This window comes from Homo sapiens, chromosome 1, assembly GCF_000001405.40.
Source record: "Homo sapiens chromosome 1, GRCh38.p14 Primary Assembly".
In the NCBI taxonomy this organism is placed as follows: Eukaryota; Metazoa; Chordata; class Mammalia; order Primates; family Hominidae; genus Homo; species Homo sapiens.
Window position 1 is genome coordinate 179,508,963 of NC_000001.11, and position 18,031 is coordinate 179,526,993.

Consider the following 18,031-nt stretch of genomic DNA (forward strand, 5'->3'; position numbering starts at 1 on the left):
ATGCAATCACAGTTGACCTGGTCAGTTGCATAAAATTTATTAGGAGGCCATTTAGACATTAGTAAATAAAACAATCTTTTTGTATCTGTTTTTACGGCACTTCACTACTCCCTGTCCCATTACAACCCAGATCCCACACCGTGTCAATAAGAGATAATATGATTTAGGTGTATGTTAATAGCCAGTCACCACTGCACAACTCTTTGAACTGAACTGATATAAAGTTAATTGAATATAGTTATGTTTAGAGGAATTGTATTTATCAGTTCCTCAATAGCGGTGAGTGAATAAATGAGCTGGTTTTTCTGCTTGTAATCTTTTATCTCTTCTCAGAAAGAATGTTATGAATGGATCAACACATGCTCTTGCCTCCTTTCTAATATCAAAGGCAGAAAAATTACATTATTGACATATGAAGAAATAGAGCGGCTACTTGAAGAGGTATTTGCCACATGTTAGCGTTGGTCATTATTCAGATTATTCCTGTATTTCAGTACAGAAGGTTCACAGCTTTTTCCAATCAATGTTCTGAATCCTTGTTCATTTACCCTAACATATGAGAATTTTGGTTCTGATCAAGATCTTTCACAGCTCTTCTTCCCTCTAAGGAATAGAATCATCCACTCAGCATTTTGCGTCATGTTTTTAGCAGGTGATTTTATAAAGGAAAGAATGGGTTTCAGGTAGAAGCTCCCTGCCACTTCCTGAGGCATATCCTCAGGTTCATCTGCTTCTGTGCTCACCCTTTTCCCTCCCCTCCAGTCTCAGTCTTTCCATTTAAGGTTATTTCTTCCTTCGAGCACTTAATCCCATGTCCAATGTCTTCTCTGTTTTGCCTCTTTAATATCTTCTCTAATTGTTCCATTTTATCAATCTAAAAGCAATCTAAAACATGGTCATTTCTCCCATCCTAAGAAGGATGTCCCTTGACCTTGTCTCTCTGCTACTTCTTTCTCTCTTTCCATTCCATCATAATCAATTTGTTTAAAACTCTAGAACTACTATAAGGTCACCAGTGATTCCTTATTGCCAAATCCAAGTATCTTCAATTTTGTATTTAACCTGGCTTCTGTGTAGCATTTGGCTCTCTTAACCATTCACTCCTTTTACAATGTCCTGGTTTTTCTCCTACTTCTTTATTTCACCCTTGTTTTAGAGTTTCACCCTTTTCTGCCTCTTAAATGTTGATATTCTGTCCTTGGCTTGCTTTCACTTCTCATTTGTACACACTACCTATTACTGTGTTTCCTGTGGTTTTCATTGCCACCTGCTTACCGAGAATCTCAAATCAGTGACTATCATGTGCCATCACAAACTCAACTCTTGTTTGTATTTCAGCCTCTTTGAAGGCGTTCTCCTCCAGTAAATTCTGAAGAAGCTCCCATTGTTATCAGAGTCATACTATACAGGTATGATCTGATGGCCTATATGTCAGTGTCTTGGGTCTGAGAAAGAAGGGGAAGGTTCTATCTACACATTTATGAAACTTTTTTTTTACATTTAAACACTGAAGAAATATCATCTTTCTAAATTATTCACCTTTAACAAATGTGCTGTCTAGATCTTGGCAAGAATTATTGTGAAATAACCACTGAATGATTTTATCAACATTATAAATTGTAAATTATAGTATACTTTGAGAAACTTAATGAAATACCACCGACATGATCTTGGTGTATCAGATCTAGGAAAAAATCAAGGAACTGTACAGAATCAGAGACGTGAGAGCAGAAGGGAATTTAAAGGCAATTGAATTTAACCTTGCATGAATCTGACAAGTCTTTTATTTTTTATTTTTCCATAGGTTACTGGGGTACAGGTGGTGTTTGGTTACATGAGTAAGTTCTTTAGTGGTGATTTCTGAGATTTTGGTGCACCCATCACTCGAGTAGTATACACTGCACCCTATTTGTAGTCTTTTATCCCTTGCCCCCCTCCCACCCTTCCCCCCAAATCCCCAAAGTCCATTGTATCATTCTTATGCCTTTGCATCCTCATAGCTTAGCTCCCACACATCAGTGAGAACATATGGTGTTTCGTTTTCCATTCTTGAGCTACTTCACTTACAATAAGAGTCTCCTGTAGTCCCAGCTACTCAGGAGGCTGAGGCAGGAGAATCGCTTGAACCCAGGAGGTGGAGGCTGCAGTGAGCCGAGATCACGCCACTGCATTCCAGCCTGGGCGACAGAGTGAGACTCTGTCCCCCACAAAAAAAAAAAGTTTCTCCAGTCTCATCCAGGTCACTGAAAATGCTGTTAATTCATTCCTCTTCATGGCTGAGTAGCATTCCATCATATATATACATATATAATATGGTAGTGTGTGTATATATATATATATTCCAATCATATACATAATATGATTTTATATATATATACACACACTACCACATATATATGGTATAATATATACATAGTATATGGTATATGGGGTGTGTGTGTGTGTGTGTGTGTGTGTGTGTATATGTATATACACCACAGATTTTTATCCACTTGTTGATTGATGGGCATTTGGGTTGGTTCCATGATTTTGCAATTGTGAATTGTGCTGCTATAAACATGCGTGTGCAAGCATCTTTTTCCTATAATGACTTCTTTTCCTCTGGGTAGATACCCAGTAATGAGATTGCTGGATCAAATGGTAATTCTACTTTTAGTTCTTTAAGGAATCTCCACACTGTTTTCCATAGTGGCTCTACTAGTTTACATTCCCTCCAGCAGTGTAGAAGTGTTCCTTGATGACCGCATTCATGGCAACATCTACCGTTTCTTGATTTTTTGATTATGGCCATTCTTGCAGGAGTAGGGTGGTATTGCATTGTCGTTTTGATTTGCATTTCCCTGATCATTAGTGAGGCTGAGCTTTTTTTCATATATTTGTTGGCCATTTGTGTCTCTTCTTTTGATAATTGTCTATTCATGTCCTTAGCCCACTTTTTGATGTGATTGTTTGTTTCATTTCTTGCTGATTTGTTGGAGTTTGTTTTAGATTCTGGATATTAGTCCTTTGTCAGATGTAAAGATTGTGAAGATTTTCTCCCACTCTGTGCGTTGTCTGTTTACTCTGCTGACTGTTCCTTTTGCTGTGCAAAAGCTCTTTAGTTTAATTAAGCCCCAGCTATTTATCTTTGTTTTATTGCATTTGCTTTTGGGTTCTTGGTCATGAAATCTTTGCCTAAGCCAATGTCTAGAAGGGTTTTTCCAATGTTATGTCTAGAATTTTTATAGTTTCAGGTCTTAGATTTAAGTCCTTAATCCATCTTGAGTTGATTTTTGTATAAGGTGAGAGATGAGGATCCAGTTTCGTTCTCCTACATGTGGCTAGCCAATTATCCCAGCACCATTTGTTTAAAAGGGTGTCCTTTCCCCACTTTATGTTTCTGTTTGCTTTGTTGAAGATCAGTTGGCTATAAGTATTTGGATTTATTTCTGGGTTCTCTATTCTGTTCCATTGGTCTATATGCCTGTTTTTATACCAGTACCATGCTGTTTTGGTTACTATGGCCTTATAGTATAGTTTGAAATCAGGTAGTGCGATGCCTTCAGATTTGTTCTTCATGCTTAGTCTTGCTTTGGCTATGCGGGCTCTATTTTGGTTTCATATGAATTTTAGAATTTTTTTTTCTAATTATGTGAAGAATGATAGTGGTGTTCTGATGGGGATTGCATTGAATTTGTAGATTGCTTTTAGCAGTATGGCTATTTTCACAGTATTGATTCTACTCATCCGTGAGCTTGGGGTGTGTTTCCATTTGTTTATGTTGTCTATGATTTCTTTCAGCAGTGTTTGTAGTTTTCCTTATAGAGGTCTTTTGCCTCCTTGGTTAGGTATATCTCTAAGTATTTTATTATTTTTGCAGCTGTTGTAAAGGGGTTGAGTTCTTGATTTGACTCTCCGCTTGGTAGCTGTTGGTGTAGAGAAGAGCTACTGATTTGTGTACATTAGTCTTGTATCCGGAAACTTTGCTGAATTCTTTTATCATTTCTAGGAGCTTTCTGGAGAGTCTTTAGGGTTTTCAAGGTAAATGATCATATTGTCAGGAAACAATGACAGTTTGACTTCCTCTTTACCAATTTGGGTGTCCTTTATTTCCTTCTCTTGTCTGATTGCTCTGGCTGGGACTTCCAGTTCTATGTTGAAGAGGAGTGGTGAGAGTGGGTAGGTATCCTTGTCTCATTCCAGTTCTCAGAGAGAATGCTTTCAGCTTTCCCCATCCAATATTATGTTTGCTGTGGATTTGCCATAGATGGCTTTTAATACATTGAGTTATGTCCATTGTATGCTGATTTTGCTGAGAGTTTTAATCATAAAGGGATGCTGGATTTTGTTGAATGCTTTTTCTGCATCTATTGAGATGATCATGTGACTTTTGTTTTTAATTCTGTTTATGTGGTGTATCACATTTATTGACTTGTGTATGTTAAACCATCCCTGCATCCCTGCTATGTAACCCACGTGATCATGGTGGATTATCTTTTTGATATGTTGTTGGATTCAGTTAGCGAGTATTTTGTTAAAGATTTTAGTGTCTGTGTTTATCAGGGATGTCAGTCTGTGGTTTTCTTTTTTAGATATGTCCTTTCCTGGTTTTGGTATTAGGGTGATTCTGCCTTCATAGAATGAATTAGGGAAGGTTCCCTTTTTTCTCTATCTTGTGGAATAGTGTCAAAAGGATTGGTATCAATTCTTTGAATGTCTGGTAGAATTCTGCTGTGAATCCTTCTGGTCCTGGACTTTTTTTTTGTTGGTAATTTTTTAATTACCATTTAAATCTTGGTGCTTGCTATTGGTCTGTTCAGGGTATCTAATTCTTTCTGAGTTAAGCTAGGAGTGTTGTATTTTTCCAGGAATTTATCCATCTCTTCTAGGTTTTCTAGTTTATGTGCATAAAGATGTTCTTAGTAGCCTTGAATGATCTTTTGTATTTCAGCGGTGTCAGTTGTAATATGTCCAGTTTTGTGTCTTAATTAGGTTATTTGGATTTTTTCTGTTCTTTTCTTGGTTAATCTTGCTAATAGTCTATCAAATTTATTTATCTTTTCCAAGAACTAGCTTTTTGTTTCATTTATCTTTTGTATTTTTTTTGTTTGTTTATTTCAATTTCATTTAATTCTGCTCTGATCTTGGTTATTTCCTTTCTTCTGCTGGGTTTGGGTTTGGTTTGTTCTTGTTTCTCTAGTTCCTTGAGGTGTGACCTTAGAATGTCGGTTTGTATTCTTTCCGTCTTTTTGATATAGGCATTTAATGCTATGAACTCTTCTCTTAGCACAGCCTTTGCTGTATCCCAGAGGTTTTGATAGGTAGTGTCATTATTGTTGTTCAGTTCAAAGAATTTTTAATTTCCGTCTGAGTTTTGTTTTTGACCAAATGATCATTCAGGAGCAGGTTATTTAACGTCCATGTATTTGCATGGTCTTGAAGGTTCCTTTTGGAGTTGATTTCCAATTTTATTCCACTCTGAGAGAGTGCTTGATATAATTTCAATTTTCTTAAATTTATTGAGGCTCATCTAGTGGCCTATCACATGGTCTATCTTGGAGAAGGTTCTGTGCACTGTTGAATAGAATGTGTATTCTGTGGTTGTTGGAGAAAATGTTTTGTATATATCTGCTAAGTCCATTTGTTCCAAGGTATAGTTTAAATCCATTGTTTCTTTGTTGACTTTTTGTGTTGATGTCCTGTCTAGTGCTGTCAGTGGAGTATTGAAGTCCCCCACTGTTATGTATTGCTGTCTATCTCATTTCTTAGGTCTGTTAGTAATTGTTTTACAAATTTGGGAGCACCAGTGTTAGGTGCATATATGTTTAGGATTGTGATATTTTCTTGTTGGACAAGGCCTTTACCATTATATAATGTCCCTCTTTGTCTCTTCAACTGCTGTTGCTTTAAAGTTTGTTTTGTCTGATATAAGAATAGCTACCCCTGCTCGCTTTTGGTGTCCATTTGCATGAAATGCTTTTTCCAACCTTTTTATTTCAGTTTATGTAGTCCTTATGTGTTAGGTGAGTATCCTGAAGGGAGCAGATGGTTGGTGAGTTCTTATCCATTCTGCAGTTTTGTATCTTTTAGGTAGAGCATTTAAGCCATTTACATTCAATGTTACTATTGAGATGTGAGATACCATTCCATTCATCGTGCTATTTGTTGACTTTGTACCTTGGTTTTTTGTTTTTTATTTTTGCTTTTTAAATTTTCATTTTTTTTGTTTTATAAGTCCTGTGTGATTTATGCTTTAAAGAGCTTCTGTTTTGATGTGTTTCCAGGATTAGAGCTCTTTTTAGCAGTTCTTGGTAGTGGTGGCTTGGTAGTGGCGAATTCTCTCAGCATTTGTTTGTCTGGAAAAGACTATATCTTTCCTTCATATATGATGCTTAGTTTCGCTGGATACAAAATTCTTGGCTGATAATTGTTTTGTTTGAGGAGGCTGAAGATAGGGCCCCAATCCCTTCCAGCTTGTAGGGTGTCTGCTGAGAAAACTGCTGTTAATCTGTTAGGTTTTCCTTTATAGGGTACCTGATGCTTTTGTCTCACAGATGTTAAGATTCTTTTCTTCGTCTTAACTTTAGATAACCTGATGACAACGTGCCTAGGTGATGATCTTTTTGCGATGAATTTCCCAGGTGTTCTTTGTGCTTCTTGTATTTGGATGTCTAGATCTCTAGCGAGGCCAGGGAAGTTTTCCTCAATTATTCCCCCAAATATGTTTTCCAAACTTTTAGATTTCTTTTCTTCCTCAGGAACATCAATTATTCTTTTTTTTAATCCACAAAAAAATTATAATGTAAGTTAAAGTACAAATGAGGGTTCATTTTTTTTACTCATCATATTGGCAAAAGTTAAGAAATTGCAAGATACAGTCATGCACTGCATAAGGATGTTTTAGTTAACAACAGACTGCAGATAAGATAGCAGTCCCATAAGATTATAAGACTGTATTTTTACTATACCTTTTCTATGTTAAGATACACAGATACAAACCATTGTGTTACAGTTGCCTACAGTATTCAGTGTAGTACATGCTGTACAGGTTTATAGCCTGGGAGCAAAAGGTTATATCATATAGCCAAGGTGTGTGTGGTGGGCTATACCCTCCATTTGTATAAGTACACTATGAGGAACATCAATTATTCTTAGGTTTGGTCATTTAACATAATCCCAGACTTCTTGGAGGCTTTGTTCATATTTTCTTTTTCTTTTTTCTTTGTCTTTGTTGGATTGGGTTAATTCGAAGACCTGGTCTTCGAGCTCTGAATTTCTTTCTTCTACTTGTTCAATTCTATTGCTGAGACTTTCCAGAGCATTTTGCAGTTCTGTAAGTGTGCCCAATTTCCCTGATGTTTTGATTGCTTTTTCTTTATGCCATCTATTTCCTTGAATATTTCTCCCTTTCCTTCTTGTATCATTTTTTTGGATTTCCTTGCATTGGGCTTCGCCTTTCTCTGGTGCCTCCCTGATTAGCTTAATAACTAACATCCTGAATTCTTTTTCATGTAAATCAGGGATTTCTTCTTGGTTTGGAACCATTGCTGGTGAGCTAGTGTGATTTTCTGGGGGTGTTAAAGAGCCTTGTTTTGTCATAGTACCAGAGTTGGTTTTCTGGTTCCTTCTCATTTGGGTAGGCTCTGTCAGAGGGAAGGTATAGAGCTGAAGTCTTTTGTTCAGATTCTTTTGTCCCATGGGGTTCTCCCTTGATGTAGTACTCTCCCCCTTTTCCTATGGATGTGGCTTCCTATGAGCTGAACTGTAGTAATTGTTATCTCTCTTCTTGGTCTAGCCACCCAGCAAGCCTACCTGGTTCTGGGCTGGTGCTGGGGGTTATCTGCACAGAGTCCTGTGATGTGAACCGTCTATGGCTCCCTCAGTCGTGGATACCAGCACCTGTTCTAGTGGAGGTGGCAGCGGGGGTGAAACAGTTCGTGAGGGTTCTTAGCTTTGGTGGTTTAATGTTCTGTTTTTGTGCTGCTTGGTCTCCTGCCGGGAGGTGGCACTTTCCAAAGAGCATCAGCTGTGATAGTATGGAGAGGAACTGGTGGTGGGCAGAGCCCCAGAACTCCCAAGAGTATATTTCTTCATATACCCTACCCACCCTTTGTCTTCAGCTACCAGGTCGGGGCAGGGCTAGGCGTGTCTGAGCTCAGATTCTTCTTGGGCAGGTCTTGCTGTGGCTGCTGTGGGGAATGGGGGTGAGTTTCCCAGGTCAGTGGAGTTATGTACCTAGGAGGATTATGGCTGCCTCTGCTGAGTCATGCAGGTTGTCAGGGAAGTGGGGGAAAGCAGGCGGTCACAGACCTCACCTGGTCTCCACACAATCTGAAGGGCTGGTCTTACTCCCACCATGCCCCTACTAACAGCCTTAAGGCTGTTTCCAGGCAGTGGGCAAGCAGGACTTGAGAACTTGTCCCATGCTACCTGCCTCCCAGCTGCAAAAGAAAAGAGTTTTGGTTGTTCTTCCCCCTGTGGAGTCTGTACACTGGATTCATGCCCTCCCCTGAGTTCTAGCGGGAGGCACCTCGCCCGATTCAAATTGTTACAAAGTTCAGCTGGAGACTTCCTTCTCCTTGGGGCGTTTTCCCCTGTGCCTCTGGCCGCCCTCCCGAAGGATCCCTGTGGTGCCAGGCAGGAATGGCCTGCTTGGGGACCCTGCGAACTCCCAGAGCCTTTCCTGCTGCTTCCTCTACCCCTGTATTTTGCTCGGCTCTCTAAATTGACTCAGCTCCAGGTAAGGTTGGAAACTTCTCCTGCAAACCAGACCTTCAGTTTCCCCAGTGGGGGTGTGTTTGGGAGTGGAGGGTCTCCCTTTCCCACTTTCGCAGTTTGGGCACTCACAGTATTTGGGGTGTCTCCCAGGTCCTGCAGGAGCAGTCCACTGCCTTCGGAGGGTCTTTGGGTCCTCTCGGGATTCCTGCTTTGTTCTTGCAGTCATTCTGGAGCTAAAATTTCTCACGTGAGCCTCCACACACTGCTCTGTCCATCTGAGTTGGAGCTACAATCTAGTCCTACTTCCCATCCACCAGGATGATCTTCTCTTTTATCTGATGATGAGTCTTAATATAACATCCATACTTGATCATTATGCTTAAGTTTGAATATCTGAAGTGACAGAGAACTACTTTCAGAAAGACTCCATTCATTTTTGGTGAGCACTGAGTATTAGAACATTAATTCTTTCTATTGAACTAAATGTAATATGTCTCCTCGTAGCTTTAGCTTTTTCTGCGAACTGGTCCTAGTTCAGTCTTTTCTGGTTAATATGAACAGGGCTGATTTGTCTTCCATATGATAATATTTCCAACATTTAAAAACAGCTGTATTCAACCTAAGTCTATTTTTTGATTTTCTATTCTTTTCTATTGATCTGTCTATTAGTGGGTCATTACCACAATATTTTAATTATTGAGGCTTTATGATACATTTTCCTTTTTCTTTTTTTTTTTTTTGACTTTTAAGTTCGGGGTACATGTGCAGGTTTGTCACAAAGGTAAACTTGTGTCATGGAGGTTTGTTGTACAGATTATTTCATCACCTAGGTATTGAGCCTAGTACCCATTAGCTGTTTTTCTTGATCCTCTCCCTCTGTCCATCCTCCACCATCCGAAAGGCCCCAGTATGTATTGTTCCCCTTTGTGTGTCCATGTGGTCTCATCATTTAGGTCCCACTTAACAGGGAAAATGTAGTATTTGGTTTTCTCTTCCTGTGTTAGTTTGCTAAGAATAATGGCCTCTAGCTCCATCCATGTCCCTGCAAATGACATGATCTCATTCTTTTTTATGGCTGCATAGTATTCCATGGTGTATATGTACTGCATTTTCTTTATCTAGTCTATCATTGATGGATATTTAGGTTAGTTCCATGTCATTGCTATTGTGTATAGTGCTGCAGTGAACATATGCATGCATGTGTCTTTATCATAGAATGATTTATATTCCTTCAGGTATATACTTAGTAATGGGATTGCTGGGTCAAATGATATTTCTGTCTTTAGATCTTTGAAGAATCACCACGCTGTCTTCCACCATGGCTGAACTAATTTACACTCCCACCACAGTGTATATAAGTGATCCTTTCTCTCCACAACCTTGCCAGCATCTGTTATTTTTTGACTTTATAATAGTTGCCATTCTGACTGGTGTTAGATGGTAGCTCATTATGGTTTTGAGTTGTATTTCTCTAATGATCAGTGATGTTGAGCTTTTTCTCATATGATTATTGGCCACATTTTTGTCTTTTCAAAACTGTCTGTTCATGTCCTTTGCCCACTTTTTTATGGGGTTGTTTTTTGCTTGTAAATTTGTTTAAGTTCCTCATAGATGTTGGATATTAGACCTTTGTCGGATACATAGTTTGCAAAAATTTTCTCCCATTCTGTAGGTTGTCTGTTTACTCTATGGATAGTTTCTTTTACTGTCCAGAAGCTCTTTAGTTTAATTAGATATGCCATTTGTCAATTTTTGCTTCTGTTGCAATTGTTTTTGGCATCTTCATTGTGAAATCTTTTCCCGTTTCTATGTCCAGAATGGTATTGCCAAGGTTGTCTTCCAGGGTTTTTATAGTTTTGGGTTTTACATTTAAGCCTTTAATCCCATCTTCAGTTAATTTTTGTATATGGCATAAGGAAGGGTTCCAGTTTCAGTTTTCTCCATATGGCTATCCAGTTATCCCAGCACCATTTACTGAATAGGGAATTCTTTCCCTATTGCTTGTTTTTGTCAGCTTTGTTGAAGATCAGATGGTTTGTCGGTGTGAAGTCTTATTTCTGGGTTCTCCATTTTGTTCCATTGGTGTATGTGTCTGTTCTTGTATTATACCATGCTGTTTTGGTTACTGTAGCCCTGTACTATACTTTGAAGTTGGGTAGTGTGATGCTTTCGGCTTTGTTCTTTTTCTTAGGATTGCCTCACTGTTCAGGCTTCTTCTTGATTCCTTATGAATTTTAAAATAGTTTTTTTCTAGTTCTGTGAAGAATGTCAATGGTAGTTTGATAGGAATAGCATTGAATCTATAAATTGCCCTTGCCAGTATGGCCATTTTAACGATATTGATTCCTCCTTTTTATGAGTATGGAATGTTTTTCCATTTGTGTCATCTGTGATTTCTTTGAGCAGTGGTTTGTAGTTCTCCTTTTAGAGATCTTTCACCTTCCTAGTTAGCTATATTCCTAAGGTATTTTATTCTTTTTCTGGCAATTGTGAATGGGAGTTCATTTGTGATTTGGCTCTTGGCTTGACTATTGTTAATGTATAGGGATGCTAGTGATTTTTGCATGCTGATTTTGTATACTGAGACTTTGCTGAAGTTGTTTATCAGCTTAAGAAGCTTTTGGGCTGAGACAATGGGGTTTTCTAGATATAGGATCATGTCATCTGCAAACAGGGATAGTTTGACTTTCTTACGATACATTTTCATATCTGGTAGGACCAGCCCTCATCACTGATCTTTTTCAGGCATTTCATTGCTATTCTTGCTTACTTATTCTTCCTTTTATTTATTTATTTATTTTTTAGAGACAGGGTCTTGATGTTGCCTCGGCTGGTCTCAAACTCCTGGGCTTAAGTGATCCTCCTGCCTCAGCCTCCAGAGTAGCTGGGACTATGGCATGCACCACTGCACCTGGCTATTTTTCTATATAACTTTATAAGCTAGTTCTTAAAAATAAGATTTTTTAAAACTAGCATAATATTAAATTTATATATTAACTTAGAGTAGACATGTTTATGATGCTGAATTGTATTATCCAAGAATATGGAATATAGGATGTCTACTTTTATGCCTTTAAATCATATCTTATTTGTTTGCTTATTTTGTACGTTTCTTATTAGGTTTATGCCTGAATATTTTATTTTTTGCTATTTTAAATGAGACATTCTTTTCCATTATATCTTCTAACTAGTAACTGTATATATATATACAGTTATATATATATACAGCATATTTATATATATTATATATATACAGACTATATATATATAATCAATTTCTGTATTTTAATTTAATTTAATTTAATTTTGTTTTATTTTTTGAGATTGGATCATACTCTGTCACCCAGGCTGGAGTTCAGCGGTCCAGTTATGGTTCACTGCAGCCTTGACTTCCTGTGCTCAAGAAGTCCTCCCACCTCAGCCTCCGGACTATGTGGGATTATAGGTGCGTGGCACCATGCCTGGCTAATTTTTAATTTCGCAGAGACAGGGTCTTGCTATGTTGCCTAGGCTGGCTTGAATTCCTGGGCTCAAGTGATCCTCCTGCCTCAGCCTCCCAAAGTGCTGGGCTTACAGATGTTCACCACCATTCCTATTTTAATTTTATATGCTGTGACTTTACTAAATTCTCTTACTGTATTTCTCTCTCCTCCTCCTGCTGCTCTTCCTCTTACTGTTTTTAGTAGTTTTTCAGTGGATTCTTTGGGGTTTTCTAGATACTTAATCAAATCACCTACAAATAGGGATAGTTTTACCTCTTTCTTTTCAATTCTGATACTTCTAGTTGCTTTTTCTTTTTTAATTATATTGAATAATTCTTCTAATTCAATATTAAATAGTAGTGGAGATAACAAGCATCCTTTTCTTGTTTCTGACTTTAGCAGGAATGCCTTTAGTGATTTACCTTTAAGAAATATGCTGGCATTGGAGCTGATTTATAATTTAATTTATTTGTTCTTTCTTCAAAAGTCTCAGATATCCACCTTGGGTCATTTGTCTTCTACCTTAACCTGTAGAATTTTCTTTAGTGAAGATATCCTGGTGGCAAACTCAGTTTTTGTTTGTCTGAAAATGCCTTTATTTCACCCTCATTCTTACATTTTTTTTTTTTTTTTTTTGCTGGGTATGCTATTGATTCTGGGATGGTATTCTTTTCTCTCAGCACATCGTTATTATTTTTACTGTTTTCTGGATTTTGTTGTTATTGAACTGACCATTGAGAATCCAGCTGTCAGTTCCTTTGAAGTGAATTCATCTCTTCTCTCTATTTTTAAGGTCGTCTTTTTGTCTTTGCTCTGATTAATGTGGAGATGGATTTTCTTTTCTTTTAAATTTTGCTTGGGATTCTCTTGATTTCCTGAATCTTTAATTTGGTATCTTTTGTTAGATCTGGAAAATTCTCAGTCATCTATTCAAATATTGCCTCTACTGCATTTGCTCTCTTCTTTCCTTCTAGAACTCTAAATGAATGTGTGTTGGAATCAATCCCCCATGTCTCTTAACCTTCTTTCATATTCTCTCTCTATTTCTCTGCATTGCATCCTGAATAATTTTTCTGGCTTACTATCCAGTTCACTAATTTGCCCTCCAATTGAATTTCATCTGCCATTAAACCTTTCTGTTGAGTTTTTAAATTAAATTGCTGAAGTCCTATTTGATTCTTTTTCAAGTCTCATCATTTTTGTAATCTTTCTGTCTTTGCTCATATTTTCAATCTCTTATTTCTTTAAATAGGTTAAGTATAACTTTTGTAGTCTGTTTGATAATTCTAATATATGATGTATCTGTATAAGAATGTTTATTACAGCATAGTATAATAGCAAAATACTAGAAACAATATGAATGTTGATCAGTAGGAGATTAGTTAAATACAACATGGTACATTGAAATAATGGAATTCTATGCAGATAAAGTAGATGTTTAAGTAGTTAAATAAATATAATCCATGATATATTATTGAGAAAAGCAGATTATAGAATATAAGATATATTATCTCATTTATATTAAAATGTTTATAGATGCAAAAAGCAGTCTAGCAGAATATTCAGCAAATGATAAAAATTGTTAACTCTGAGAGTTAAGATTCTTAATTCCTCTGTAGTGTTCAAATATTTTATAGCAAGAATGTTATCAAGAAAAAAAGTATTTTCATTTTGTAAAAATATCCTAATTTTTTAGTCACATTGTGACTATTTTTCTATACTGTACACATATTTCTATAGCATAATTTAACATTGCTATAAAGTATTTTGTTATATGGCTTACACCATAATTTATTTGTGCATTTTCCTATTGTGGGCATTGAGCTTATTGCTAGCTTTTGCTTTTATAAATATTGCTGCTGTAAACACCCAGAGGATGTTTTTAAATCTATATGAGTAGACTCCTTTGAGGTGTTCAATACTGATGACTCCTTCTTTCTTCTCTTTTGGCTTTCCTCGTGGCCTCTCATACTTCAGAGGCTACTTCTGGCTGCCTTTTCAGGCTCCTCTTTCTTCCCTAGCATTTTATTTTTTTCAGAGGTTTGAAAATCTATTATTGTTTTCCTTGAGTATAGGCTTTTGATTTCATCTGATTGTTTTTGTTTTTTTTTTTTTGAGGCAGCAATTTCCTATTTATTTATTTTAATTGACAAATAAAAATTGTATATATTTATTGTGTACAACATGATGTTTTGAAGTATGTGTACAATGTGGAGTGGCCAAATTATTTTTCTAAAAATAACAGCTTTATTGAGACACAATTCATGTAATATGTACAATTCAGTAATAGTTTGTGGTATATTCACAAAGTTGTACAGTGATAATCACTATTGAATTCCAGAACATTTTAATCATTCCCAAAAAGAAAATCCATACTGGTTAGCAGTCACTCAAATTTCCCCTTTCTTCTCAGGCCCTGGAAACACCACACGGTTTCTGGCTCTATGGATTTGCCTATTCTGGACATGTCATGTAAATGGAATTATATAATATGTGGCCTTTTGTGCTTATTTCCCTTAGCATAGTGTTTTCAGAGGTCAGCCACATTGTTGCCTGCATCAGAACATCATTCCTTTTTTTTTCCCAATAGGTTTTTGGGGAACAGGTCATAGTTGGTTACATGAGTAAGTTCTTTAGTGATAATTTCTCAGATTTTGGTGCACCCATTACCCAAGCAGTGTACACTGTACCCAATGTGTAGTCTTTTATCCCTCCTCACCTCCCACCCTTTTCCCCTGAATCCCCAAAGTCCATTGTATCATTCTTATGGCTTTGCATCCTCATAGCTTAGCTCCCACTTATGAGTGAGAACGTACAATATTTGGTTTTCCATTCCTGAGTTACTTTACTTAGAATAACAGTCTCCAAATGCCATTATTTCATTCCTTTTTATGGCTGAGTGGTATTCCATGGTGTATATATACCACATTTTCTTTATTCACTCATTGATTGATGGGCATTTGGGCTGGTTCCATATTTTTGCAATTGTGAATTGTGCTGCTATAAACATGCATGTAAAATTATCTTTTTCATATAATGACTGCTTTTTCTCTGGGTAGATACCCAGGAGTGGGATTGCTGGATCAAATGGTAGATCTACTTTTAGTTCTTTAAGGAATCACTACACTGTTTTCCATAGATCCCTAGCATTTTATGTAACTGGGTTACTGTCTAATTCTCTGGCTACTTCACAAGTTTGCCTTTAGGATATAATTTACTTTCTTGGCTTTAATTAAAGGCAGATGACTGTCAGATCTCTATTTTTAGCCCAAATTCTTCCATCTTAAACTCCAGATCCATATATTCACCTTCTTGCTGGGTATTTTCACTTGGGTATCTCAGTGGTACCTCCAACTCTCACAGCCTAATCTGAACTCATCTCTCTCTCCAAACCTATTTATCCAGTTTTGTTCATTGTCTCTGTGAATGGCATTGTCATCTCTCTAGTGGTCTAAACTGTAAACTAAGTGTCATTCAAGATGCACATTTTCTCTAACCATCCCGTGTCCATCCAGTCAATCACTAGGACTTGCCTCTTAAATATCTCTTAAATCCTCCTTTTCCTTCTCTTCATTCCCGCAGCCACTGTTTTGTTCACGCTCCTTTTCTCTTCCTCTGCTTCCCTTTCTTCCTCTTCTTTAAAGCTATTCTCCTGTTGCTAGAATGATTGTTTTGAAATGCAAAGCAAATCAACCAATTTATTAGAGCCTCATTGCCTTCAGGATAAGAGCCAATCATCTCCCTGGCTTGACAGTCTAGCCCTTTCTCTCTGATTGCACTCCTATTCATTTGTCTCCCAGTTTTTGTCCTATTGAACTATGCTCTCTCAGATCCAATCATGTGCATGGAACATCCTCTGCCCAGAGCTGCTTCTTTTCCTTCCCCATCCTTCAAGAAAAAAACTCAAACATTATCTCCTTCAGGAAACCTTCCTAACCAACTCCCTCTTTTACCCAGTCCACTACCTGGTCTAAATTAGGTGCTCCTACTATGTGAATGTATGCATTCATTGTATTTTCTTGTCCGTGAAATTAATAAGTTTCTTAAGGACAGGGACTATTCTTATCAACCTTTGTATCCTTGTCACTAGCACAGTACCCAGCTGCAGGATTAGTGCTCATTAAATATTTTGAACAAATAATTGCTAATATTTATATACACCCTTTAATCATAATATTGGTTCATCTCACAGGAGGCTGTAAAAGAATTCATTGAGCCTGAAATAGACGAGTCTTTTAAAGAAGATGAAGAAGAAAGTAAGGAGGATAGGAAACTTCAGGAGGAAAATAAAGAGAGAGCAGAAGAAGTAAGATTATTTGGTATTTGTTTTTCCTCCTACATACATACATACATACATACATACATATATTTTAGAGACAGGGTCCTGCCCTGTCACCCAGGTTGGAGTGCTGTGGTATCATCATAGCTCACTGTAACCTCGAACTCTGGGGCTCAAATGATCCTCCTGCCTCAGCCTCTTGAGTAGCTAGGACTACAGGCATGCACCACCATGCCTAGCTAATTTTTAAAATTTTTTTTATAGAGATGGGATCTTGCTATGCCCAGGCTGGTCTTGAACTGGTCTCAAGCGATCCTCTTACCTCAGCCTCCTAAAGTGCTGGGATTACAGATATGAGCCACCATGCTTGGACCATATATATATATATACACAGACATATATAGTGGGGGGAAAATTATAGACACACACAGACAGTGGAGAATAGAAGTAGGTGGTCTGGAGTGAACTCCAGTTTCCTTCTTTTCCTCATATAGATTTAGCCAAACCTGCAGAAATATTTATCTTTGTCACTTTATTTTCAGAGGAAGGGAATGTTCCTTTTCCCTTCTAAATCCAGCCATTTCCCATTAGCCTCATTTATACTTTTATTCCTATTAACTACACAATCTACTTCTCACTCTGGTACTATTTTTTTAGCCCTTCATTGCCACATTTTTTCAGATAACACTTTAAAACTCCATATTTCTACTTCTTCAGCTCCCATTCTGAGCTGCCTTTTGCCCTCCTCCCAGGCCCATCACCAGACCTCTCCTCTCTTTACCCCGTCTCAACCCCCGCAGGGGCATTTGTAGTAATAAAAACCCTTCCTGGGACATTTGTAATAATAATAATAATACGATGATTACCAAAAATTGAGTGCCTATCATGAGTGATATACTTTGCACATATTATCTCTTATCTATGCAACACAACTTCAAGGTTTATATTATTGCCCCCATTTTACAGATAAGAAAACTGAAGCTCAGAGAGGTTGACTGATTTACTCAAAATCATATAGCTGTAAGTGGCAGAACCGATATTCAAACCCAGTTAAGTCTGGCACAAGACCCCTTGCTAATTCTTAGATTGACTACTACTGCCTTTGGCTTCCTAGAACTCATGATTGCCTAACACTCTCTACAATGTCTTGATTTACTTCTTTGATATATTTCTTCTCTGTATATAGTTTAAGTGTTGGCATGACTCCAGGCTCTGAAATAGGTCTTCTACTCACTGCACAGGCAGGACAACAGAACAAAAATATTATATAACACCCAAGCCTATTTCAATCAGCATTTTCTGTTTTATTTCTGGTAAAGTGCTTGGTATGTAGAAGGCACAGAATAAATGGAAATTGTCAGAGGTGTCTTAACCAGAGTGACTCCATCTTGAATAAAGTCCAGATAAAGCAAAACCTACTGGGTTACTTTCCCAGGAAATTGGACACTCTTAGTCACAAGATGTTTATGGTTGAGGAAACGAGTTAATGGAAAAAGGCATTCTCAGTTTAAAAATGGGTTTCACTTTAAAGATAATGGTACTGTTACAGGAAAGGTGTCATGATTCAGAGCCC

At 37.4% G+C, this 18,031-nt stretch overlaps 1 protein-coding gene across 19 annotated transcripts in view, besides 1 other annotated feature; it reads left to right on the top strand.

The window, feature by feature from the left end:
- Positions 1–18,031, top strand: part of AXDND1 (axonemal dynein light chain domain containing 1) — a 189,031-nt gene that overhangs the window by 143,258 nt on the left and 27,742 nt on the right. For 15 of the 19 annotated variants that reach the window (NR_073544.2, XM_011509168.2, XM_011509169.2 and 12 more), the window contains 2 exons: positions 334–441; positions 16,372–16,485. The exons of 2 other annotated variants lie outside the window; for them this stretch is intronic. Coding sequence is in view for 15 of the 17 variants with exons in the window: in XM_011509168.2 (XP_011507470.1) it covers positions 334–441; positions 16,372–16,485 (222 nt within the window). In the remaining 2 variants the exon portion in view is untranslated. Of the gene's footprint in view, positions 1–333; positions 442–16,371; positions 16,486–18,031 lie in introns of those variants that run through there. 2 more of the 19 variants (XR_921742.3, XM_011509170.2) reach the window with 2 other exon arrangements.
- Positions 7,930–9,129: an enhancer, noted in NCBI's record as "MED14-independent group 3 enhancer chr1:179486027-179487226 (GRCh37/hg19 assembly coordinates)". NCBI's record gives its function as "activates an origin of replication core promoter dependent on BRD2, BRD4, P300/CBP and CDK7 cofactors, and independent of MED14, by STARR-seq in HCT116 cells {active_cell/tissue: HCT116}" and the evidence as "EXISTENCE:reporter gene assay evidence [ECO:0000049][PMID:35650434]".